This window comes from Homo sapiens, chromosome X, assembly GCF_000001405.40.
Source record: "Homo sapiens chromosome X, GRCh38.p14 Primary Assembly".
Lineage (NCBI taxonomy): Eukaryota > Metazoa > Chordata > Mammalia > Primates > Hominidae > Homo > Homo sapiens.
The window spans coordinates 72,687,179-72,712,584 of NC_000023.11; the positions used below are offsets into that span (position 1 = coordinate 72,687,179).

A 25,406-nucleotide genomic window follows, 5' to 3' on the forward strand; every position below is an offset into this window, starting at 1 on the left:
TGGTACATACATATACCAGTCTTTGCATATGTATGGTCTTAGTATATATATATAAAATGGCATATGTATGGTCTTGGTATATACATATATATACATGCACCATCTGTATAATATTAAGCCTCATTCTCTGTCATTTTTAAAAACTTTATTGAGATACATAAAAAGTATGCATTGTAAGTATATATTGCCAGAAAGACTGGCAATTCAATAGAAATCAGAGGCTGAGAGAAGGCAGAAGTATGAAACTGGCCTTATTCATCTCTTAGATTTGTATCACAGCCATACCATACAAATGCCACATATTTCTACCACTTATGTCCTTTTGCTCATAATCTCCATTCATATGGCCTTCCCTTCCTTCCCATATCTTGAAATCTCACTGTTCTTTCAAGTTCCAGCTCAAATGCTATCTCCTCTGTGATGCTGTCATTGCTTCCCCTTTTCTGTGGTTCACACAAACATACTGTGTGTGTGTGTTTGTGTGTGTGTATTTGCTCAGCATTAAACTTTAAAAAAAACTTCTTTCTCTATTATTGATATTTTAACAAATATTAAGGAAATTAGTCCGTTGCACATCATATGTGTTGCAAGTATTTTTGCTAGTTTGTTGGAATTTGGACTTGTTTATAGTATTTTTTTATTATCAGAAACTTTTTTTTTTTTTTTGAGACAGAGTCTCGCTCTGTTGCCCAGGCTGGAGTGCTGTGGCATGATCCTGGCTTACTGCAACCTCTGCCTCCTAGGTTCATGTGATTCTCCTGTCTCAGCCTCCTGAGTAGCTGGGATTACAGGCACCCACCACCATGCCCGGCTAATTTTTTTGTATGTTTAGTAAAGAAGGGGTTTCACCATGTTGGCCAGGCTGGTCTTGAACTCCTGACCTTGTGATCCGCCCGCCTAAGCCTCCCAAAGTGCTGGGATTACAGGTTTGAGCCACTGCGCCTGGCCACATCTAAATCTTTGATCTATTAACATATATTTTAAATCATGGAACTGTGTAACTTTATAATTAAAAAGAACTATATGATTGGTATTATCAGATTGCAAACTCCTCCTGATCCATGGCTCTGTCAAAATAGCATCCATAGCACAGGGAAGCTGCAGAAGCAAAGTGGCAAAGTGTGTTTTTTCTTGCAATCGTAATGACACTAACTTCTTGGAAAGACGCCGGTAAAGAGAAGAGATGATAGTGACATGGGACATCAGCTTCATAGCTTTATCTTGTCATCTTTGTGTGACAATGCGATTGAGCAGAGACAGAGAAGGCAAAAGTATGAAACTGGTATTATTCATCTGTTAGACTTGCATCACAGCTATATCATACAAATGCCAGACATTTCTACCATTTATGTCCTTTTGCTTGTTATATTCTCCATTTAAATGGCCTTCTTCTCTCCAGATCTTGAAATCCTACTGTTCTTTCAAGGCTCAGCTCAAATGCTATGTCCTCTGTGATGCTATCATTGATTCTCCTATTTTGTGATTCACAGAATTTTGTTTTTCTTACTTTTATGAACTTATTTTTTTACTCTGTATTATAGACAAATGTGTACTTGAATTTTAAGGAAAGAACTACATCTTATTTATATCTGCATCTTCTAAAATTATCTCACATAGCCACTAAAAGTATCTCACGTAGTATTCTGAACGGTATTAAATAGCATTGAACAGTAGATGTTTGAAAATTTATTAAGTGATTTTAAACACCTCTGTTAACCACAGGAAAGGGATCAGCCTCTTGAGGAAAGGTCATAAATGGAGGACCTCTGGATCCTGTGCCTCCTGTAGAGCCCAGACACTGCTTGTCGAACAAAGAATGCAGAGGTGAGTACACATAAAATGAGATAGGGCTGGATTAGACCAAAGGTGACTATATAAAGAATACTAAGGCATACAGGGCTCCAGAAATGGAGCTAAATCAGTGGTCTATTGCACTTATATTCTGCACTCATCTGTATAACATTAAGCCTCTTTCTCTCATTTTTAGAAACAACCTTATTGAGATATGTAAAAAGCATGCATAAGAAGTATATATTCAACGGTTTTTAGTGTATGCACAGTTATGCGACCATCACCACAATCAATTTTAGAACACTGTCATCACTCCAAAAGAAACCTTGTGCCCCTTAGCAGTCACTCCCCACTTCCCTTCTACAGTTGCCCCCCAGCCTAAGTAATCACTAATCTACTTCTTGTCTCTATGATTTGCCTTAGTTGACATTCATATAAATGGAATCATACAATATGTGGCCTTTTATGTCTGGGTTCTTTCACTTAGCATAATATTTTCAAGGTTTGTCAGTGTTGTGGCATGTACCTGTAATTCATTTTTTATTGCCCAAAATATTCCATCTTGAGAGGTAGCAGTAACATGAAAAAAAATTTAAAAATTCCATTGTGCAGATGTATCATATTTTATTTATCCAATTATCAGTTGATAAACATTTGGGTTATTTTCATTTATGGCTATCATAAGTAATGCTGCTATAAACATTAATGTATAAGCTTTTGAGTGAACATATGTTTTCATTTCTCTTGGGTATATATATACTTAGGAGTGAAACTGCTAGATCATATGGTATCTCTTTTTTAAGCCTTTTAAGGAACTACCAGACTCTTTTCCAAGGCAGCCGCACCATTTTACATTTCCACCAGCAGTGTATGAGGGTTCCAATTTCTCCACATCCTCAGCAACACTTATTATCTGTCTTTTTGATTACAGTCATCCTGATGGGTGTGAAGTGGTATCTCATTGTGGTTTGGACCTATATTTCTTTCAAAATTAATGATGTTCACTATCCTTTCATGTACTTATTGGTTATCTGAACATCTTTTTGGAGGAATGTCAATTCTGATTCTTTGACCATTTTTAATTAGGTTATTTATCTTTTATATTAAGTTCTGCGAGTTCTTTTAGATACAGGTACCTTATCAGATATATGACTTGTGAATATTTTCTTCTATACTATTGGTTGCTTTTTTAGTTTCTTGATGGGGTCCTTTGAAGCACAAAAGTTCTTAATTTTGATACATTCCAGTTTATCTATTTTTTCTTCAGTAGCTTATGCTTTTCGTGCCATATCTAAGAGGCTTTTTCTTAACCCAAGGCCAGAAACATTTACTCCTGTATTTTTCTCTAAGTGTTTGTTATGTATTGAATTGTGTCCTCCCCCCAAAAATTTGTATATTGAAGCCCTAACCCCTAATATGACTATATTTGGAGATAGGGACTTCAAGGAGATAATTAAGAAGATAAATGAGGTCATGAGGGTGGCCCTAACCCAATAGGGCTGCCGTCCTTATAAGAAGAGGAAGACACACCAGGAGTGCACACACATAGAGAAAAGGCCATGTAAAAACACAGAAAGGGTAGCCATCTGAAAGGCAAGATGAGGCCTCACCAGAAACCAACCCTACCAGCCTTGCTCTTGGACTTCCAGCCTCCAGAACTGTGAGAAAATAAATTTCTGTTGTTTAAGCCACCTATTCTGTGGTATTCTGTTGTGGCAGACTAATATAGTGTTTTAGTTTTCCTTCTTACATTTAGGCCTACAATTTATTTTGAGTTAATTTTTTAAATTTAATTTCTTTTTTTGTTTGTTTGTTTGAGATGGAGTCTCATTCTGTTGCCCAGGCTGGAGTGCAATGGCGTGATCTTGGCTCACTGCAACCTCCGCCTCCCGGGTTCAAGCGATTCTCCTGCCTCAGCCTCCTGAGTAGTTGGGATTACAGGAACACACCACCACGCCTGGCTAATTTTTGTATTCTTAGTAGAGACGGGGTTTTGCCATGTTGGCCAGGCTGGTCTCAAACTCCTGACTTTAAGTGATCCTGCCACCTCAGCCTCCCAAAGTGCTGGGATTACAGGCATGGGCCACCGCGCCCAGCCTTGAGTTAATTTTTATATATGGTGTGAGGAAGAAGTCCAATTTCATTCTTTTGCATGTGGACATACAGTTGTCCCAGCACCATTTGTTGAAGAGACTATTCTTTCCCCATTGAATTATCTTGGCACCTTTGTCAAAAATCAACTGAGCATAAAGTGATGGCTTATTTCTAACCTCTCAATTCTATTCCAAAGAGCTACATGTCTATAGTTATGCCAGTACCTGTACTGTTTTAATTAATATAGCTTTGTAGTAAGTTTTGAAATTAGGAAATTTGAGTCCTTCAACTTTCTTCTTTTTTAAGATTGTTTTAGCTCTTCTGGGTCCTTTAAATTTCCATATAAATTTTAGAAACAGCCTGTCAATTTCTGCAAAGTCAGTTGATGTTAAATCTGTAGATTAATTTGGGAAATGTTGCCACATTAACAATAAATCTTCTGATCCTTGAATATAGATGTCTTTCCATTTATTTAGATATTTACTTTCTTTCAACAATGTTTCATATCTTTCAAAGTACAAATTTTATATTTCTTCTGTTAAATTTATTCCTCATTATTTCATTTTTGATCCTATTGTAATAGAAATTATTTTTAAATTTCATTTTGGTTATTCACTGCTACTGTTTAGAAACATAACTCATTTTTGCATTTTTATCTTGTACGTTGTTACCTTGCTGAACTTTGTTTATTCTAGAGTTTTAATGAATTCCTTAGGATTTCTCTATGTAAGAACGTATCATCTGCAAATGGAGATAATTATACTCCTTCATTTATTTGATGCCTTTTATTTCTTTTTATTGGCTATTTGCCCTTGCTAAACTGCCAGTACAATTTTAGATACTGGTGGCAAGAGTTGATGTCCTTGTCTTATTCTGATCTATGGGGAAAAGCATTCATTCTTTCACCATCAAATGTCATGTTAGCTGTGGATTTTCAAAGATGCCATTTATCAGGTTGAAAAAATTCTCCTCTATTCCTTATTTGGTAAGTATTTATCATGATAAGGTGTTGAATTTGTCAAATGTTTTTCTGTGTCTACTGAGACAATAATATATCTTTGTCCTTTATTCCACTGACATGATGTATTGCATTAATTTTCAGATAATAAAACAACCTTGCATTCCTGGAATATATATGGTTTGGTCAAGGTATATAAACTTGTTAATATATTGCTGGATTCAGTTACCTAGTATTTTGTTTATTTTTATGTCTATATTAATAAGAGATATTGATCTATAATTGTACTTTGTTGTGATATCTTTGTCTGGTTTTAGCATCAGAGTAATGGCTTCACAGAATGAGGTTGCAAGTGTCACCTCTTCTATTTTTGGAAGTGTTTGTAAATAATTGGTGTTCACTCTTCTTTATTTGGTAGATTTATCAGTAAAGCTATCTGCACCCGGGCTTACTTCTCTGTGGAAAGATTTTATATTACTAATTCTCTTCGATTGTAGTAAGTCTACTCAGATTTCCTTTGCTTCTTGAGTCAGATTCAGTAGTTTATCTTTCAAGAAATTTTCCCATTTCATCAAAATTATCTAATTTTTGGTAACCAGTTGTCCATAGTATTCCCCTTTAGTTCTTTATATTTTTGTAAGGTTGTAGTGATGTCCCCTCTTTTATTCCTAGTTTTAGTAATTTGAGTATCCTCTCTTTTTCTCTTGGTCAATGTAGCTAAAGATTTATCAATTTTGTTGATCTTTTTAAAGAATGAACTTTTGGTTTTGTTGATTTTCTCTATTGTTTTTTCCATTTTCTGTTTCATTAATTTCTGCTGTAATGTTTATTACTTCATCCTTTCTCTTTGCTTTGGGTTTAGTTTGCTTGTCTTTTTCCAGTGCCTTAAGGTGGGAGGTTAGGTTACTGATTTTTCTTTCTTTTTTTTTTTTTTACATTGGTGTTTACAGGTATAAACTTCCCTCTAAGCACTGTTTTCTCTGCTTCCTATAAGTTTTGGTATGTTGTATTTTCTTTTTCATTTAGCTCAAAGTATTTTCTCAATTTGACTCATTGGTCATTTAGGTGTGTATTGCTTAATTTCCATATATTTGTGAGATTCCTAGGTTTCTTTCTGTTCCTAATTTCATTCCATTTTGGTCATAGAACATACTTTGTGTGATTTTGAAATCTTTCAAATTTATTGAGGCTAGTTTTATGGTATACCATATAATCTATCCTGAAAAATGTTCCATGTGCCATTGAGCTAGTATATGGTTTAGCTTCTTGCTCTTATTGAGCTACTAGCCTCCTCTTAATTGCTTAGAACCCAAATCTCCATTGTTTTTTGAGATTGCCTTTAGGCTTTAACTTTTCCACACTCTGTTAAATAAAGTCAATTCCTTTGGGAAAAGCTACAGAGCTTTGTGTCCTTACAGCCTGCCTCTCTCCCCAGCAAAATTTCCGTGCCAGTGCTCCAGAGCTAGTGGTGAGAACAGTGGCCCACTTCTTTTGGAGTGACACCCCTGCTTTACAAATTGAGTGCTGGGAAGGGATGGTAGCCTTTGATCTTCTTAGTTTGCCCCTCCCAGTGGGGAACCTCCACCCTAATAGTGAAGTGGGCCAAGGTTAATCAGGGCCTAGCATTCTCACCCTGCCTTTTCCTGGGGAGGAGGGGAACTCCAGGCCTGTCAGCTATTCTTGCCTGAACTAGCTTTTGCAACATGGAGCTGGAGAGGATGTATCTCCTTACCTCCCTCAGAGAGATACAGTGTCCCTAAACTGGGAACTAGCTGGGGAGATTGTGCTCTTGGTTGTACCCGCCTTGAATATTGCTTCTGCCATGCTGAGGTGGGGTGGAGGGGGGAGTAGATTTAGACTCAAATGCCACACTCCCTCACTGCTTTTACCAATACTTGGTAGATTTCCTGGAGTAAATGTTTCTCTACCTGCTGTATGTCCTTCAGACAATTTCCAATAATGTAGTGGCTGGTTTTTAAAAAATAATTTTCAACATTTATGGTTGTTTTGCTGGGGGAGGTTCCATGGAGCCCCTCCTGCCCCCATTCTGTAAGTTGCAGTCAAGTTCTGTCTAAGCCTCTCTTTTAACCAAGGTGGAGATTTGTGTATTCAAAAATGTGTAGAGCATTGCTAAATACTCTGTGAAGATCTTGCATACTACCACTTAAATCTCACATATGCCCTTTCATTCTCAAGGTAACTGCCTTACATAAATTCTGAATCAATCTTGCCTTAAAGTATTTCACTAACTTCCTAACTAGTCTGCCATCTTAACCTTCTTTCCTATCCAATCTATCTTCCTGCTACTGAAGTGAATCATCTGAAACTTCCTTGATTATTTACCTTGAATGACTCGCTACTGATGATGGCCTAAACTGCAAACTATATGGCATGGTACACAGGCCCTCGAATAGCTAGTCCCAACCTTCTAGTTTCACAGTTTGTCATTTTTCCAGATGCATGTTATACTCTAACCATAGAAGATATCCAGCCTTACCTTGATGGGCAGTACCTTTCAAATTTCCATGTTATATTCATGCTATTCCCTTCCCTTCTCTGATTTGTAAATTTCTACTTATTCCTCAAAGGCCTGATCAAATAATATCTACCTTATTCCAAGTACCTATCAAACTCTGCTGATTGAGCTGAAAATCAAATGTTAAGTCAGGAATCAATAAACATTTGTTGAATGAATGGCTATGTCTCCTATAAGCCTCTTTGATACATTTCTGCTTGCATTCTGGACTCAAAATGAAAAACTACAAGAGATATTCAGACATTGTTGCTTTGTAGACATAACTCCAGAATTGGTATTAAAGTATTATTAGAAATAGAGTTATAGTTGTCATTCTATTTAAATAAATTAAACCTAAAAATACATTTATTCAGGAAGAAACCTCCCCTACAACAGGAGGACATATCTGGGTAGCCAGTTCATACTTTTAAGAAAAGGCTATTCAGCTTCTGAGCTGTGTGTTTTAGAGGAAATAAAGGAAAGGTTTATCATCAAATATTTATTTCTATTAAAAAAGGAGAAGAAGAGTATTTTGAGGGAATTCCCACCCTGGATGCCCTTAGTACCAAGGATCTCAATAACCGGGTTGGAAGATGAAGAAATTAAAATGTCAAAAATATGGTATTTTGAGAAGTACATTAGTTTAGGAAGCTCTGGCAAAGGTCCCATTACTTTTATAAACTAGGTATAATCGGATACATTGCCCTCCCCCAATTTAGGAAAAATAAAAGGAAATTAAGTTGTTTCTTACATTTCCCTTTCTCAGGTAAAGCATCCAAAATTAATAAATTGAGAACCATCTGAAAAGGATATAGTATTCAATAATTAAAAAATTTGGATTCTGATTCCTAAGTTAATTTTCTTAATATAATTTAGATGCCTATAGACAGATGCCTTGTTTATAATATATTCATAAAGAGTAGCATAAAGTAGGTGATTGAGTTTGTATTTATACTAACTGGCAGGCTTGTCAATGTACTGTAATGAGAACAAGCAATGAAACCTAGCCCTTCTTTGCCATCTCATGATATCTGAGAATTAATAAATAATAAAAAATACCTGTTTCATGAAGATCTACCCCAGCCTTCCCGGTTCTCAATTTAAAAGAATATTAATTAGTACCCCAGACTCCATGCTCAGGGGCTCCCAGCACTTCTCTCCTTGTACTGACCTGAGGCAGTCATTTGGGCTAAGAAGAGCAGGTACACAGAGGTAGCATCCAACTGCAGGTGTCCCCATTGATCATCACCCACTACAGTGGCACAGGTTTTGGTGTTGTACTTTGCATGGAGGCTATCCTTAGTACTCTGACTATATTTGAAGGATTCTACTTTATCCACCTGAAAAGAACAAAAACATTAAAAGAAGGATATACTGAAAAATCAACCCATATGCCACACTTCTGTAATACTCTAACATACATTATTGCAATGTGAAGATACACTATCTTCAGGCAATTGTGAATATTTAAAATACTCGTTACCTGTTTTTCCCTGCACTAATATAACTGGAAAGTCTGTTATTGTTGTTTTTCAATTTAGGTGATTTAATCAGAAAATAATACCAAATAGTCAAAAACAGCTCTTTCCTATTCATTGCCTCTTGTTTACTCTTCATATGGTTGCTTTGCCACACTGCACATTGTAGATAAACTGAGATTCAGAGTGCTTGAGTGAGAACAGCTTAGTAAGAGGTAACTGAATGTGAAAAGATACATTTGTTCCTGAAACTGAGGTAGAAATTTCGAAGTAAATTAGAATAAGAGGATATATTTTGAAGGAGTAATGAAAAGAGCTGCTGAGAGACACATAGAGTGAGGGAGTAAAGGTATGACAGTCTGAAAGGAAAATATCTTGGGCCCCTTCAAGCTAAGAATTGCTCAGGGAAAATCTGCCTCCCATTCTATTCAAAGTCATCCCTCTGCTCACAGAGACAGATGCATATTCTGATTGCCTCCTTTGGAAAGACTTACCAAAAACTCAAGAGAATGCAACCATCTGTCTCTCACCAACCTGTGACCTGGAAGCCCCCAGTTGTGGGGCGTTGCTTTGAGTTGTCTCAGCTTTTCTGAACTAATGTACTTCTTACATATATTGATTGATGTCTCATGTCTCTCAAAAATGTATAAAACCAAGCTGTGCCCCAACTATTTTGGGCACAGGTCCTCAGGACCTCCTGAAGCTGTGTCATGGGCGCATCTTCAACTTTGGCAAAATAAACTTGCTAAATTAACTGAGACCTGTCTCAGATTTTCAGGGTTCACATTTTGGTAACCTCAAGGTGGGGTGGATTCTGAGTGGAGATGCCCCTGACCTTTGACAAATCTCCTGTTGGTGCTTGGTACCAGCATGAGCTAACTTGATGGCTCAAACCAACAGGACAATTTGCTGAGGCCTGAGAGCACCCCCTCAACAGAATCCCTGATCTCTCAAAATTTGGTTGAGATCTAAAGCTTATTTTGCTGTTACAACTCCTCTTTTTTTGGAGTTTTACTTGCTTCCAACACAAGGAAAGCAAGTTTTCCTGCCTCCATGTCGATGGAAGGCAGGTAACTCCTTTATGGAGTTTGAACACGCTTCTAACGGGGAAGATGAGTTTTGTTTTTGTTTTTCCTGTTTCTAGGACCGTAGAGAGCAGTCTACAGCCTGAGACCCATCATTATGTAAGAAACTGGTTTGGGATTCTGTCTTGAAAATTCTTTTTAAATGACTGAAGTTAGCATTAACAACCAGCTGGTGTTAAATTCTGCTTACACTTAGAGTGCTCAGAAATCATAGAATTTGTGTGATGATTGTTAGTTTAGCAGCATTTTGTCCTAGCTGAAATACAGTAATAAGATTTTAAAAGATTTTTTTTAAAAGAGCTCAATGGTTAAAAGTCGGCTTAATTAAAAGGTTAACATCCAAGATGTGTGTGTATATGTGTGCATGTGGGCATGTTTGTATTTAAAAGGCCTTCATGTTTTGAGGTTGATTTTCTTTGAGAAAAAAAAACAAGGTCTCCTAAGACCTTGTCTTTTTTTTGAGCAAAAGTTTTTTTTTTTTTCTTCTCAGTTGACTGAATTCTGTTTTCACCTGATTTTTTGACTAAAATAGTTATCGCAACAGAGGCTACACTTGGGTTTTTAAGGAAGACACTCAGAAATGTCTTTGTTTAAAAAAATTTTGGCCGGGTGCGGTGGCTCACGCCTGTAATACCAGCACTTTGGGAGACGGAGGCGGGTGGATCACGAGGTCAGGAGATCGAGACCATCCTGGCTAACACGGTGAAACCCTGTCTCTACTAAAAATACAAAAACTTAGCCGGGCATGGTGGCGGGTGCCTGTAGTCCCAGCTACTCGGGAGGCTGAGGCAGGAGAATGGCGTGAACCTGGGAGGTGGAGGTTACAATGAGCCGAGACTGCGCCACTGCACTCCAGCCTGGGTGACAGAGCGAGACTCTGTCTCAAAAAAAAAAAAATTTTTTTTAAGTGCACTGTAAAAGCATCTCCCTGTAGTTCTGCACCACCAGACCTTTCTCTCTGTACATTATGATGTAAATTTTGCTATTTGATTTCACCTGAACTGTTTCCTTCAATGTGCAAATTTAAAGCTGTTTAGCTGACAACTGTGTAGGGTTGTGAAACAGGTTATCAAGAATATGAAAATCTAAGAAAAAAAAAAGAGGGGGTCTTTATAAATCCATTGGCATGCCTAATGTGTCCTTATATGTAATTATGTGTTGTGTACACACTGTTTCACTACTAAACATATATAAGAGATCTAATTAATTGGCTTAAAGAAAAATAAAAGCATTTAAATCAGATACTAAAAAAGAATTGTCAAATGCTTTTTGAAGTTTATGTAACTTAAGTAAAATCTGTAATAAATAAGCTAGTTTTAAAATTATTTGGTAAAGTAACATTAGAAATGTCTTAAGATTTGCCAGTATACATTCTTTTGTTTTACATTTATGAATCAAGCAATTTCATACTTATCCCTGCCAAATACTATCAGGTGTCAAAATTTGGCATAGGGGTTACAAACTATAAGCCCAGCCCAAAACAGAACGATTCTTTGCTTGTGTAATTTTTAATAAATAAGACATTGATATGGGCTTAATGAAAATAGCTGCATCTTGAATTTAGTAATATTACCGTAACTTCGAATCTTGTGGCTTTAGGCAGTATGCACAGACAATAAGGAGGTTTGTTTTGGGAAAGGACTGTTATTCTCTTTGTTTCAAAGCTAATCTATAAGCTAAATTCCTCCCAAAGTTAGTTTGGCCTATGCCCAGGAGTGAACAAGGACGGCTTGGGGCTAAGAGCAAGATGGAGTCAGTTAGGTCAAATCTTTTTTCACTGTCTCAGTCATAATTTTCAATGGCAGTTTCATAACTTTAAATCACGACTATCACAGTTTTCATAAATAATCAGGGTAAAACAATTAAAATAATTACGTAAATGTAATAGGATAAGTACTTGCAGAAAAACTGGTCATAATTTAGGATATAAAGTTATATTAAATAATAGATATTTAATTATTTGGGTATTTTCCAATAAATATATATTGTAGGAAAACATTCTTGCTAAAAAATAAAAGGTGAACAAGTTTTGTCTAATTCAAAGCTTATTTAAAGGTTATGTATAAAACAAGGTAAAAACAACCAGGAAACAAAAGGAGATGTAAAGAAAGTTATAAGAATAAAGAGGCCAGGCGCAGTGGCTCATGCCTGTAATACCAGCACTCTGGGAGGCCGAGGCAGGTGGAGGGGGTCAAGAGATTGAGACCATCCTGGCCAACATGGTGAAACCCTGTCTCTACTAAAAATACAAAAAAAAATTAGCTGGGTGTGGTGGCGTGCTTGCCTGTAGTCCCAGCTACTCAGGAGGCTGAGGCAGGAGAATTGCTTGAACCCAGGAGGTGGAGGTTGCAGTGAGCCGAGATCGCGCCACTGCACTCTAGCCTGGCCACAGAGCAAGACTCCATCTCAAAAAAAAAAAAAAAAAAAAAAAAAGAGGGATGTTCAGGACAAACCAGAAAGTCCAAATATTATTATTAAGTTTTGGTTTTGCTTAGGAAAAAAACTGAGATTAACAAAAAAAAATTTTTTTAAACTAAGGTTATTACATCCATGTATCTTCCTATATGGGCTTTTAAAGTCCTTGTGACATTGAGTTAGAGGGCTTTAACTCCTGGGTCTAAAAAGGACATCAAGTCCTGCTAAATCTTAAACACTAACAGCAATTAAAGCCTCATCTTCAGGCCCCATGGAAGATGCCAATCAAAATAAGCTGCATTCCTGAAATACAGGGCAAAAAACAATTAAAGCTATTTGATTCCTCATGAGCCAGGGACTATCGTGGAAGAAGACAGTGCACAGATTGTAAAGGCCAATTTTTAAAGATAAAATAAGTTCAGTTTCTCTATAAATTAATCATTAGTATGAAAGGCACACTGATGCAAAACCAGTATATGGACCCCTGTGTCAGATTAACAGGTTTTTCTTAAAGCATTAACCAACTCCACCAACTCCTTAATAAAGGTTATAAAAGCCTTATGGAAGTTATATTTTATAATCAAGGTTAAACTTTATAGATTGTTTACAAAATTTTGAAAAACAAATGTAATTGGCTTCATGCTGTTTTTATTAGGGCTTCTTGTTTAGAAAATTAAGTCTCTTCTCTCAAAGAATTAAGGTTTTCACTTTTTTTGAAGTCCTTGAATTATCACTTTGGTTAAACAATGACCTGTAATATTCTTTTGTAATATCAAGCATTTCAAACTTTTATATTTGACAAATTTTCCAAAATCAAATTATAAATTATGTCTTTTTCTAACCTAATTAATCCTTTAAGACATTAGGTTCCCTGAAGTCCAAAAATGTCATAATTTGGCTTATTTGGTATAAAAATTATACAGGAAGCACTGTCAAATATGAAATGTTGTTTGGTTTTCTTTGGGCTGTATTTGTATAAATATGTTATTGGTATGTGTTCCAAAATTATGAGAAACTCCTGAAATTCTGATATAACTTAGTGTACATTATCAGTAATATTCCTAATTGTTATGTTAAAATTATTGTGTGCCACAGAGGTAACAAATTTCTTTGTCAATTATGTCTTTTGATTATGGCTGCCTTAAAACTTTTTTTTCATCCATGGACAATTGTTGTCTTGTTTTGGTCCTTTTTAGAAGACGGTTTTATAATCAGCTATAAAATTCCAATAGGTGCTCTTAAATGCAGGTTTCTGATAACTTTTGAAGATTGTGACATCAGAATAGAGGAAAAATTTCCAGGACTCATGGAGAACTAAAATGTTCATGAATATCAAGCAGAACAAGAAATAACTGCATGGACTGAACTAATTTTTTGGACTTTTTGCTTAAAATGTTTGCTGATCCTTTGTTTTGTTTTTCAGATACTTAAAACTTTTCTTTTGAGCTACTGACAGCTTTTAACAATTTAGTATACTGCCATAAAAAAGATTTGGAGCATATTTATTTCTCTCTACCTGATTTTCTCTAGAATTTGGAAACTATTTGTGAGTATTCTTAACTTATGGCAATACAGTTATTTGCGTAAGTGCAATAAGAATCTGTTTTCATTTGTAACGGGACACAGTTGGAGAAACTGGTAATTTTACCAAGGCTTTGACTGGAATGGTGTGCTTTCCTTTAAAGAATCAAACTTGACTTGTGAAGCCAATAAAGCCCTTGGAAAAACTGGCCTCATATTTCATGTACACAGACCACATATAGGGTTTCTGACCCTTGGTAAGTAAAGAATGTCACTTTCCGACAGGCACAGAAGCCTCAGGTTTATCTTGGAACCCCAAGAGGAGGAGAAATTCAAACAACTCATAGATATTTGATGGCATAAATTCATGGCTGGGCTCGGCTTTCAAGAAGTCTTAACTAATGGCTGGGTGTGGTGGCTCACGCCTATAATCACAGCATTTTGGGAGGCTGAGGCAGGTGGATCATGAGGTCAGGAGTTCGAGACCAGCCTGGCCAACATGGTGAAACACCGTCCCTACTAAAAATACAAAAATTAGCCGGGCACAGTGGTGGGCGCCTGTAACCCCAGCTCCTCGGGAGGCTGAGGCAGGAGAATCACTTGAACCCAGGAGGTGGAGATTGCAGTGAGCTGAGATCGTGCCACTGCACTCTAGCCTGGGTGACAGAGCAAGACTCCATCTCAAGAAAAAAATCTTATCTGAGATTCCTCCTATGGAACAAAATTCCATCAAAGCCCATTTAAAAGCCTATGTAAAAAATAATTATTCTTGCTGCACTGTATACAAATAATTAGGCCAAGTATAATAAGCAAACCAGTCCTACCATGATTTGTCTTTAGTAAAAGGGGAAACCGGAGAGAGAAAAAATTATATTTCAAAACGATAGGACACCCATTGTTAGATTCTAGTCTTGCCTAATTTTTGTTTCAATTTTTATTAGTTTCTACAGTTTGGATGGAATTCTAATTTTTTTTGGCTACAAGTCTTCAAAATAATGTTTTCAACTTTTTCCTTCCTTTTTTTCCCCCATTTTTCCTAATTTGGAGTCCCTGAAAACTCAGCTGTGCTTTCTTAAAACCCTGGGAACTGAAGCCAGACAACTCAAACTTCAGAAAAAAATAACAGTAATTGGCCAGCACGGTGGGTTATGCCTGTAATCCCAGCACTTTGGGAGGCCGAGGCTGGTGGATCACTTGAGGTCAGGAGTTTGAGACCAGCCTGGCCAACATGGTGAAACCCCATATCTACTAAAAACATACAAAAATTAGCCGAGTGTGGTGGCGCACATCTGTAATCCCAGCTACTCAGGAGGCTAAGGCAGGAGGATCACTTGAACCCGGGAGGCGGAGGTTGCAGTGAGCCGAGATCACACCACTGCACTCCAGCCTGGGTGACAGAAAGAGGCTTCATCTCAAAAAACAACAGTAACCTATTTACATTCATAAGCCACTTTCATACCTGCCTAATAATGTATGGACTTCAGAGTAATAGGGCCTATACTGATTTTTCCAGGATTGTTCTTTTGTTTGTTATTGTTTTTTCTCCCTTACCTCCCCCCATTTTCTCTTCACAGGATATGAGACTTCACAACCTGCTAAAAATGAGCTTTTGGGACCTACCCATCTAGAAATAAACTGTCCTACTCATGAGAGATCAGGCGAAACCTGAGATCAGAGATTCATTTTCTTGTAAAATGCTTTCTCCAAAAGATTTGAAAAAACAAAGGTGGGGGGATGTGAAAGGAAAATAACTTGGGCCCCTACAAGCTGGGAACTGGTCAGGGAAAATCCGCCTCCCATTCTATTCAAAGTCATCCCTCTGATCACAGAGATAGATGCATATTCTGATTGCCTCCTTTGGAAAGACTTATCAGAAACTCAAGAGAATGCAACCATCTGTCTCTTACCTACCTGTGACCTGGAAGCCCATAGTGGAGGGAGGCCTTGCTTTCAGTTGTCTCACCCTTTCTGGATGGAACTAATATACTATACTTCTTACATATATTGATTGATGTCTCATGTCTCCCTAAAATGTATAAAACTAAGTTGTGCCCCAATCACCCTGGGCACATGTCTTCAAGACCTCCTGAGGCTGTGTCATGGGTGGGTCCTCAACCTTGGCAAAATAAACTTTCTAAATTAACTGAGATCTGTCTCAGATTTCCTGGGTTCAAAACAGAAAGCTAAAACTAGAAGTCAGAAGGGAAATATTGTGCAAAGGACAACTGAAAGACTTAGTTCCTGAAATTTAAATTTGATAATTAATGCCTCTGATGTATGACAGTAACCGTTATACCTTAAATTTGGTTCCTGAAATTAGTGACCTTAAACCTATTTGGTAAGGTAAAAAGTTCAAATATTGGCCAGGCAAGGTGGCTCATGCCTATAATCCTGGCATTTTAGGAGGCCAAGGTGGGAGGATCGCTTGAGCCCAGGAGTTTGAGACCAGCCTGGGCAACATAGTGAGATTCCATCCCTACAAAAAAAAATTTTTAATTAGCAAGGCATGGTGGTGCACACCTGTAGTCCCAGTGATGCGGGAGGCTGAGGTGGGGGGATCACTTGAGCCCAGAGGCCAAGGCTGCAGTGAGTGAGCTATGATCATATCACTGCACTCCAGCCTGAGCGACAAAGTGAGACCCCTATCTAAAAAGAAAAAAACGAAAGTGCAAATATCTAAAATACAAAATAAAGTAGCAAAGACTTTCTATCTATCATATATTTCTATGTACTACTTTCTATCTACTATATATTTCCTTCTACTATAGACTTCTGTGCCTGTAGGCAGTCACTTTAGCAATCCGGGCCTCAATTTCTTCTTCTAATAAAACACAATCTTGATCTTCAGAAAAGACAGGTAAGATTGAGTGTGGGCAAAATGCTTTAAGATCTCCTAGGATAAAACAATTTTTTAAAGTAAAAACACTCTTGTATGCAAAAATATCACAAACAAGCCTCAAAAATAAATGATAGACTGCTAAAAAATTCGCAATGCATATGACAAAGGACTAATGTCTATAATGTACAATAACTTTTCAACAGGCAGGAAAGAGAACCTAGATGATAGGCAAAGGACTTAGCAGACAATTCATCCATGAGGAAATGCAAATTTTCAATCTACACATAAAAGGATGCTCAACTTCACTGGAGGTCAGGAAAATGCAAATTACTGCAAGGAGATGCAAATTCAAGGTTTCTTATCTCCAATCTTAAAATCTGAAACACTTTGAAAAGGCTTTTCCCCTAAATTTTGCATTAAAATTCATTTGTTGGCAACACCAGATTCAAATTAAGTCTTTATTTATTCTACTTAGTATGAAATTGCATGTTTCCCTACAGAGATATTAATGTTTCTGATTATAGAGTGCTGTTCTAGACCCGCAGAAGGCATAAGGTAATATATGGTGTATATATACCATACACCATATAATTAAAGGTTGGCAGGAGTATGCACTGTACTGCCTTTTTAAAATCTGAAAAACTTTAAATTCTAAAGTTGATGGCCCCAAGGGTTTCAAATGAGGGTTTTGTGTATGTGCATGTGTGTGTGTGTGTGTGCATTTTGTTTACTTGTTTTTGAGACTGGGTTTCAGGCTGGAGTGCAGTGGCACCATCTTGGCTCACTGCAGCCTTGACCTCCCAGGCTCAAGTGATCCTCCCACTTCACCCCCGCTAACCCCAAGTAGCTGGGACTACAGGAACACACAACCATGCGCGGCTAATTTTTATATTTTTTGTAGAGACAACGCTTCGCCATGTTGCCCAGGCTGGTCTCGAACTTATGGACTCAAGCAATCCATCCGCCTTGGCCTCCCAGAATGCCGGGATTACAGGCATGAGCCACCAGTGCCTGGTCAAATGAGGGTTTTTAAACCTGTATCATCTTTTCACCCTACATACACAATTGCATGTACAGTAATGATGAAACACATTGAAAATCATTTGTAGAGGGTCAAAAAAGACTGGAAAGAAACATTCCAGTGGTAATTACATTGTGAGATTATGGGTGACATTATCCCTCTCCAATTTTCAAAATTTTCTAAAATTAGTGTGTACTATTTGTGAAACTGAAAGAAAATATAAGCTATAAACATTCCCTAAAGGGTAGAGATACTATTACAATGTGCTTTTATTAGAGAGGAAGGTGTTATCAATACCATACCTGTCTGATCATGCAGTGCAGTAGTCCTCTCATCAGCTTCACTACACTCTGCAGAAATAAATGGAAACAAGACAGTTATAAACATCCCTAGATACAGGAACACTTACTCAGCAACTGCAGATGGTACATGACCTTTTGAGAACAAGTAACCCTATCCTGTGTTCCTATTTACATGACATTTACTTTATTGGTACACAGAAGAGCAGATTACAGCTAAAAGTGGAATCAAAAGCTACACTTTATGATTCCTTCAAGTCAAAAAAATCATCCAAGCTTCAACTGGTTTATGTAAAAATAAGCCAACCATCCTATTAGAGGACATTCCACCTGGAGAAAGGGGCAAGTCAGCTCAAAAATCCTAAGGCTCTGAGGATATTCTAAAATACATCCTATGGCCTAGAAAGACTTCACTACAACATTGCTTTCATTTTTTCTAAGCTAGCCAAGACTTATCTTCAAGAGTCCACAGAAATATTTATCTGGACATGTCCTCTAAAGAATAAAGTGAATTTTAATAAAGAATAAGTATAAAGGGGATCTGTTCATTTGACTCAACCCGTTTTCCTTGAAAGAAAGTCACAAATTCTTAAGTTTCAAGTCATCACTATTTCTCTTACTGGGGCTTGATAATTTAAAGTAGTTTGTTTTCCAATCATAACATCTCAAAATTCTGATCACCAACTATATACTACATGACACTAAAGGGCCCATCAATCGTGGCATGGGTAGAAATGTGTTTTGGAAGAACATAGCACTGAACAGTTTCTCTATTTCTCCAAAAAGCTTTCTGTTTCACAGTCCAAAAGAAATCCAACCAGGTTACTCCAGGGTATGCTGGCTCAGAGGTAACTTCAGGACACCTCTGAAAACTAATCTACTTGGAAGCCACATGATTCTGTTATTTCTTCAAAACATATTCAAATGGGACTACAAGCAATAGTCATGATAAGGATAAGTACCTATTAAGTTCCAACTCTTTATGAAGCCTTTTATTGAGGGAAAAATAAGAATAAAAATGGTTTCTGTGGGAGAGTCCCCTTTCTTAAGTCATTTCTGTCTATAAATGGTCCCCTCCCCTTACAGATCAAAAGAAGAAATTTTAAAAAGAGAGAAAGAATAGGCAGTGCATGATCTTGTCACATTTTAAAGCCTGAAACATTTATTATAAAGCAAGGAAACTTACTGTAACCCCTACAAGAAGACATCTATATGACTTTGATGCTAATGAAAGAGTCCATCTCTTTAATATACCTGTTATGGAAAGTATTTAACACAACCTCTTCTGTGGGGAAACTTTATTCAATTCTGATACATGTCACCACATACTCAAAGGTTTCTACCATATTCTGTCTTTTCTAAAAGTCAATGAATTAGAATGGGAAGCAGAGGGAGGGGCTTGAATAGTCTTGTCTTTATATCAATGGCCTAAAGGAACTCATTTTAAAAAAACATATTAAGGGCCTCTAGTCGACCAATATAGAACTCAGCATTTATACTATTCTGTAAGAATCCTGGGCTCATGTCATTGGCTTCTTCACTATTTTACTGCCTTAGTCATCTTTTCTCTTGCAAACCCATCAACTCCCTTTACCCTCTAGCCCCACTACTCCCATCTAAATTTTCTTTAAACAGCAAATCTGGGGAATCAAGGACTCAGTGGAGGATCTCAATTAGTGGCCATTGTCAGCCATTTCTATCCTCAAGTTCTAATTTCCAAGGCAAGATAAAATTAGTAGGAAGTATCGGGAGGTAGGAATGATGGGAGGTATCTGTACTCTGTGTTCCCCAAACTAACTGTTTTCTGATCCAGGTGTGCTAGATGGCATTAATTATACATGTACATTCATACATCAGGGCTTCTACCCCATACCAAGTGACTCTCCCTCTTGCCTATTCTTTTTGACGACATAAATCAATATATATCTGTGAACTGACTTTATAAGAATATATAACTACACAACCATATCTGTGTACCTCTTTCTCTCTACCCCCAGGTATATGTGCAATCAGATATTTATTGAACCTCTATCAGGTTTTGTAGAACATAAAGAAAAGGGAAATGGGACAGATATGTTTTAAAAACTAACTACAGCATAGTCTACCCAGCATTTCCTAATTATCCTTTAAAACCCAACTCCTCTCTGAAGTCTTCCTTGCCTCGTCCCAAAGAAGTTTAGACATTCCCACCTCTGTGTGTTCCCACAGAGCTTAGTAGTTATCTCAAATATATAAATCAGTACCTATAGTACCTATCTTAATGTACTGTAACTACTTGCTTATATATCTGTCTCCCCCATCAGACAATGAACTCCCTGAGAAAAAGGGGCAGAGGCCAGGTTCAGAAAAAGACCTTCAAGTCAATGGACGAAGGAAGTTGAATTAAAAAACAAACTCATGTCTGCAAGTAACTCTCAAAAGGCTTATCAAAAAATCGTGTGTGTGTGTGTGTGTGTGTGTGTGTGTGTGTGTGGAGGGGTGGGTACGCAAATATGACAAAGTGTTAACAACTAGCGAATTTAGATAGAGTATATGCAAATATGTTTATTTTACTATTCTTGCAACTTTCCTGTAAGTTTGAAATTTTCCATAAAAAAAAGTTGAGGGTTACATATAAACATTTTGTACCATTTTCTTTTTAACATCTATTATAGGGCCTGGCACATGATGATTACACAGTCTTTTAAATTTAAAAAAATGAAGATGTTGAATGGCACAGATGGTAAGTGATCTAGAAGTTCCAAGAAAGGAGTCCTGAGAAAGAAGTGATCACTGTACAAGTGAGTGGTCTGTGAGGAAGGACAGGGACCACAGAAAAAGTGGGATTGGTGCTAGGCTTTCAAAGGATATTAGTTTAGATTGAAAGGGAATAGGCAGGTAGAAGAAGAAGCCCATAAAAATTTTTGCAGGTGGCAATGTCTATGGCTCCCACGGAGGCAAAAATTCAAACAATACTGATTCCGAAGTCATAAGACCCAGGTTGCATTCATGGTACCATCAAATTCCAGCTTCATCTCTGGGCCTCAGTCCCTTCACTTGGAAATTGAGGATAATACTTGATTCACAGGGTATTGTGAGAATAAAATACTGGTAATTATGGGGAAGTGTGTTGTACAATGGAAAGTATTTATACAAATGTTAGGTATTTTTATTAAGGGATTAGAGGAGTAATAAAGACATCAGCCTGGCTGGAACTGGGGGTATAATGGAGGGCACCAGCGTGATATAATATTGAAAAAAATAAGCTGGGACCAACCCATAGAGGGCCTTGTCTATCAATCCAAAATGTTTCGACTTTACTTGTGGAGAAATGAGGGCCACAGAAAGATTGTCGAGGATGGAAATAACATAATTTAAATGTGGTTTTCACAGAAGTGTTAGGAAATAAGGGCTTAGACTAAGGTTGAGGCAGAAGGGAAGAGAAAAGAGGGGATAGATTCAAGAGAAATTATATGAATCAACAGACTGGTGTGCATGCATCAAAAGGTAAGAGGGAGAAGTCAAAAATCATTCTAAGGTTAAGTAGCACACTTCAAGCACTGTTTTATAGAGTGCTAGTCTAAGAGATTCTGGAAAGGCTATAAAATTCACTCCCATCTTAGACAAAATATGCACATTAGTACATCAAAGGCTCTGAGAAATTATGGAGTAAAGACACATGCTCTTTAACATAGTCCCAAACTTAGTTGGCCTAGTATTCCACAGAACATACTATGGGAAATACTCCAAGTAATATTGCCTGGGTGGTTGGTAGAATGGAGACAGTAATAACAGAAAAAGAGATTGTTGATGAGTTTCCATTGTTTTGTAGTTTGTTTTTAGTTGGAAAGGTGGGGTTTCAGACACATTGAGTTTGAGGAGCCACAGTATATGCAGATGAAACTGATGAGGTGACAAATGAAAACCTAGGTTTAAAATTGAAGTGAGGTCAGAGATGAAGACTCAGAAGTCATTCTCATAAAGGTAATAGTTAAAGTCATGAGAAAAAATGAATGACCACACAAAAAGAACAAAACTTAGCACAAAGAACTGGAGTGAGGCCCAGAGATGAAGCTGAAATTTGATGGTACCATGAATGCAAAGAGATATCCCTATTTGTGTGCCTATATTTCTATGGGTATGAGACTGTATCTATATACCTTAGAGAAAGACATTTGTAAAAACATACATGTGCATAATTCTACTCTCAATCTAGGATGCAGTAGTTGCCTAAACCCTTGTCCTCTTTTCTTCCAGAATTCTCTTCAATTCTCTGACATTATTTCTCAGAAAGAAACCAAGGTAAGAATTGGAAGGAAGGGTAGAAATAATTAACAATCAATGTTTTGGGAAAATCCACACAGTAATAGAAAGTTGCAGTAGGTGGGAATTTAATCTATGAATTTATTGGATTTAATCTATGTTCATATTTTGCCATAACTAGTCATTCTTCACACTGGCTATACATTAAAATCACCCGGGTAGTTTTTTAAAAATATTGATGCTACTGAGCTCCACTTCCAGAGATTCATATTTAAATTGTTCTAAGCTGTGGTGTACTAAGGGTATTTCTTAAAAGATTCCTGGCCGGGTATGGTGGCTCACACCTGTAATCCCAGCACTTTGGGAGGCTGAGGTGGGTGAATCATTTGAGATCAGGAGTTCCAGACCAACCTGGTCAACATGGTGAAACCCCATCTCTACTAAAAATACAAAAAAATTAGCCGGGTGTGGTGGTGCACGCCTGTGATCCCAGCTACTGTGAGGCTGAGGCAGGAGAATCGCTTGAACCTGGGAGATGGAGATCGCAGTGAGCCGAGATCGCACCGCCGCACTCCAACCTGGGCAATAGAGCAAGACTTAGTCTTCAAAAAAAAAAAAAAAAAAAAAAAGCTTCTCAAAGTACAGTCAGAGTTTGGAACCACTCATCTAGATCAGGGACAAATCTAGCCCATTGCTATTTTTATGAATTAAGTTTTATTCAAACATAACTATACTCATTCTTTATATACAGGGGACCCCTGAACAACATAAGTTTGAACTGTGCAGGTCCACTTATATGTGGCTTTTTTCCAACCAAACACGGATCAAAAATACAGGATTCAGGGGTGAGAAACCCATGTATATGGAAGGCTGACTTTTCTTATAGATGGGTTCCACAGAGCTGACTGCAGAATTTGAGTATGCAGAGATTTGGTTATAAGCAGCCTGTACTGGAATCCATCCTGCACATATACTGAGGGATGACTGCATTGTCTCTGGCTGCATTTGCACCACAATCACAGAGCTGAGTAGTTAGATAGAGACCACATGTGACCTACAACCCTAATGACAAAAAAAGATATGATTTTCTGGTCCTTGATTAACACTGAATCAGGTTTGAGAAAAAAATTGAGACCTAATAATAAAAACCTGTTGCAATTAATAAGGAAAGTTCATATAAATTTAAAAATTCCCACAAAATCTTTTCTTTTTGAAAGATGTTTCCCATTGCTATAATGTTTTGAAACATTCCTAATTACTATTAAGGTGGTATGAAAGGTATTTTTTGGCTATGTGAAAAATTATTTAATGGAATATTAAAATTTTAGAATGGGCAATTCAATGTTTCCCTACTATTCCCCCTTCCTCTGTTAAATTCTTTATTTTTTATTTTTTATTTTTTTATTTTTTTTTTTATTTTTATTTTTATTTTTTATTTTTTTTGAGACGGAGTCTCGCTCTGTCGCCCAGGCTGGAGTGCAGTGGCGCGATCTCGGCTCACTGCAAGCTCCGCCTCCCGGGTTCACGCCATTCTCCTGCCTCAGCCTCCCGAGTAGCTGGGACTACAGGCGCCCGCTACCACGCCCGGCTAATTTTTTGTATTTTTAGTAGAGACGGGGTTTCACCGTGTTAGCCAGGATGGTCTCGATCTCCTGACCTCGTGATCCGCCCGCCTCGGCCTCCCAAAGTGCTGGGATTACAGGCGTGAGCCACCGCGCCCGGCCTGTTAAATTCTTTATAACTGGGCCAAATAAGAAAAAGTGTTAACATTACAGGGAGATAACAGATTTCTTCTAATAGAATTGAAAAAATTGGTCAAATTGTACCAGATATGAAATTCCAATTCTACTGATATTAATTTCTAGTAAAAATAGCAACAAACAAAACACTGAGCTCAAACTAGAAAACGTTGAGTAGGATGTAGGATTTGGGGGAGGGGAGTGGGCAGGATTACAGGTGAATTTTTTTAAACACTCTTCTATATTTTCCAAATTTCTACAATGGTATTTTTATAAAAGTCATAAAAGGCTGGGCGCGGTGGCTCACGCCTGTAATCCTAGCGCTTTGGGAGGCCGAGGCGGGCAGATCACAAGGTCAGGAGATTGAGACCATCCTGGCTAACATGGTGAAACCCCGTCTCTACTAAAAATACAAAAAATTAGCCAGGCGTGGTGGCACGCGCATGTAGTCCCAGCTACTCGGGAGGCTGAGGCAGGAGAATCGCTTGAACACAGGAGGTGGAGGTTGCAGTGAGCTGAGATCGTGCCACTGCACTCCAGCCTGGGGACAGAGTGAGACTCCGTCTCAACAACAACAAAAAAAGTCATAAAAATAATGATCTGTACTACCTGGTGTGGAGCAAAAACTTGAATAATTTTTTTTTTTTTGGTGGACCTATGTATCTCTCAATAATGGCTTGAAAGAACAACAAATGCCTGCTGTTGCTAAGGACAACACAGTGCAACCCCACATTATATTGATACTCGTAAAATAACCAAATATCAATATTCTGATTTATAGATGAAGACTGGAGCTCAGATTGCCTAAGTCTTGGAGAGACCACTGGAGAAAATGGCTGGTATAGAGAGAATTTTTCCCACTAATGGAAATGAATGCACATGCATCTTATAACTGACAACAGAGTACTTCAACTCCCACCATAGCCCAGAATATTGTTTTCTTAATATTATTTTCTTGGTCGTTGAAGAGGATGCAGCTACCTTTGCGTCTCAACAGTTCTATAAAGGATGCTGGTTTACTGAGGGGAAGTGCCTTAAAAGTTGGCTTAAAGGCATCTGCTGACTCTGACCTCATTTTGCCCAGGAGTTGGGGGAGGGAGGAAGCAACAGGCTCTGAAACAGTGGCCACAGCTATAAAAATCAACAGATAAAGTCTTTACTGTGTCTAGTCCAGAAGGTTTGCTGATTCATGTCATTTACCCTCATACAAACACCACAATTTTTAAAAATGAAATAAAATAGTAGATACCTGCTCCCAAACATTTTCTCAATGAGAATAAATACAGTGGTGACTACAAGATAGATTAACTTAGAGAGTCATGCATTTTAGGAAAGATCCCAGGATAGGATTTTCCACTGTAACAGAACAGACTGTTCCCTCTCCCTCAAATCAGCAAGTTTCAAGTTTC

General features: G+C 37.6%; 1 protein-coding gene and 1 long non-coding RNA gene across 9 annotated transcripts in view; one reads left to right on the forward strand and one right to left on the reverse strand.

Annotated features, from left to right (window-relative positions):
• The window catches only part of PHKA1 (phosphorylase kinase regulatory subunit alpha 1), a 135,493-nt gene that overhangs the window by 108,365 nt on the left and 1,722 nt on the right, over positions 1 to 25,406 (reverse strand). For all 8 annotated transcript variants that reach the window (NM_001440788.1, NM_001440787.1, XM_047442160.1 and 5 more), the window contains 2 exons: positions 18,020 to 18,067; positions 8,530 to 8,698 (listed from right to left, as the gene is read on the reverse strand). In NM_001440788.1, coding sequence (NP_001427717.1) covers positions 8,530 to 8,698; positions 18,020 to 18,067 — 217 coding nt within the window. The remainder of the gene's footprint in view (positions 1 to 8,529; positions 8,699 to 18,019; positions 18,068 to 25,406) is intronic.
• Positions 1,771 to 25,170, forward strand: PHKA1-AS1 (PHKA1 antisense RNA 1). The gene is made up of 5 exons (NR_110391.1): positions 1,771 to 1,824; positions 9,981 to 10,020; positions 20,671 to 20,738; positions 22,253 to 22,297; positions 24,779 to 25,170. It is a non-coding gene; the product is annotated as a PHKA1 antisense RNA 1 (long non-coding RNA).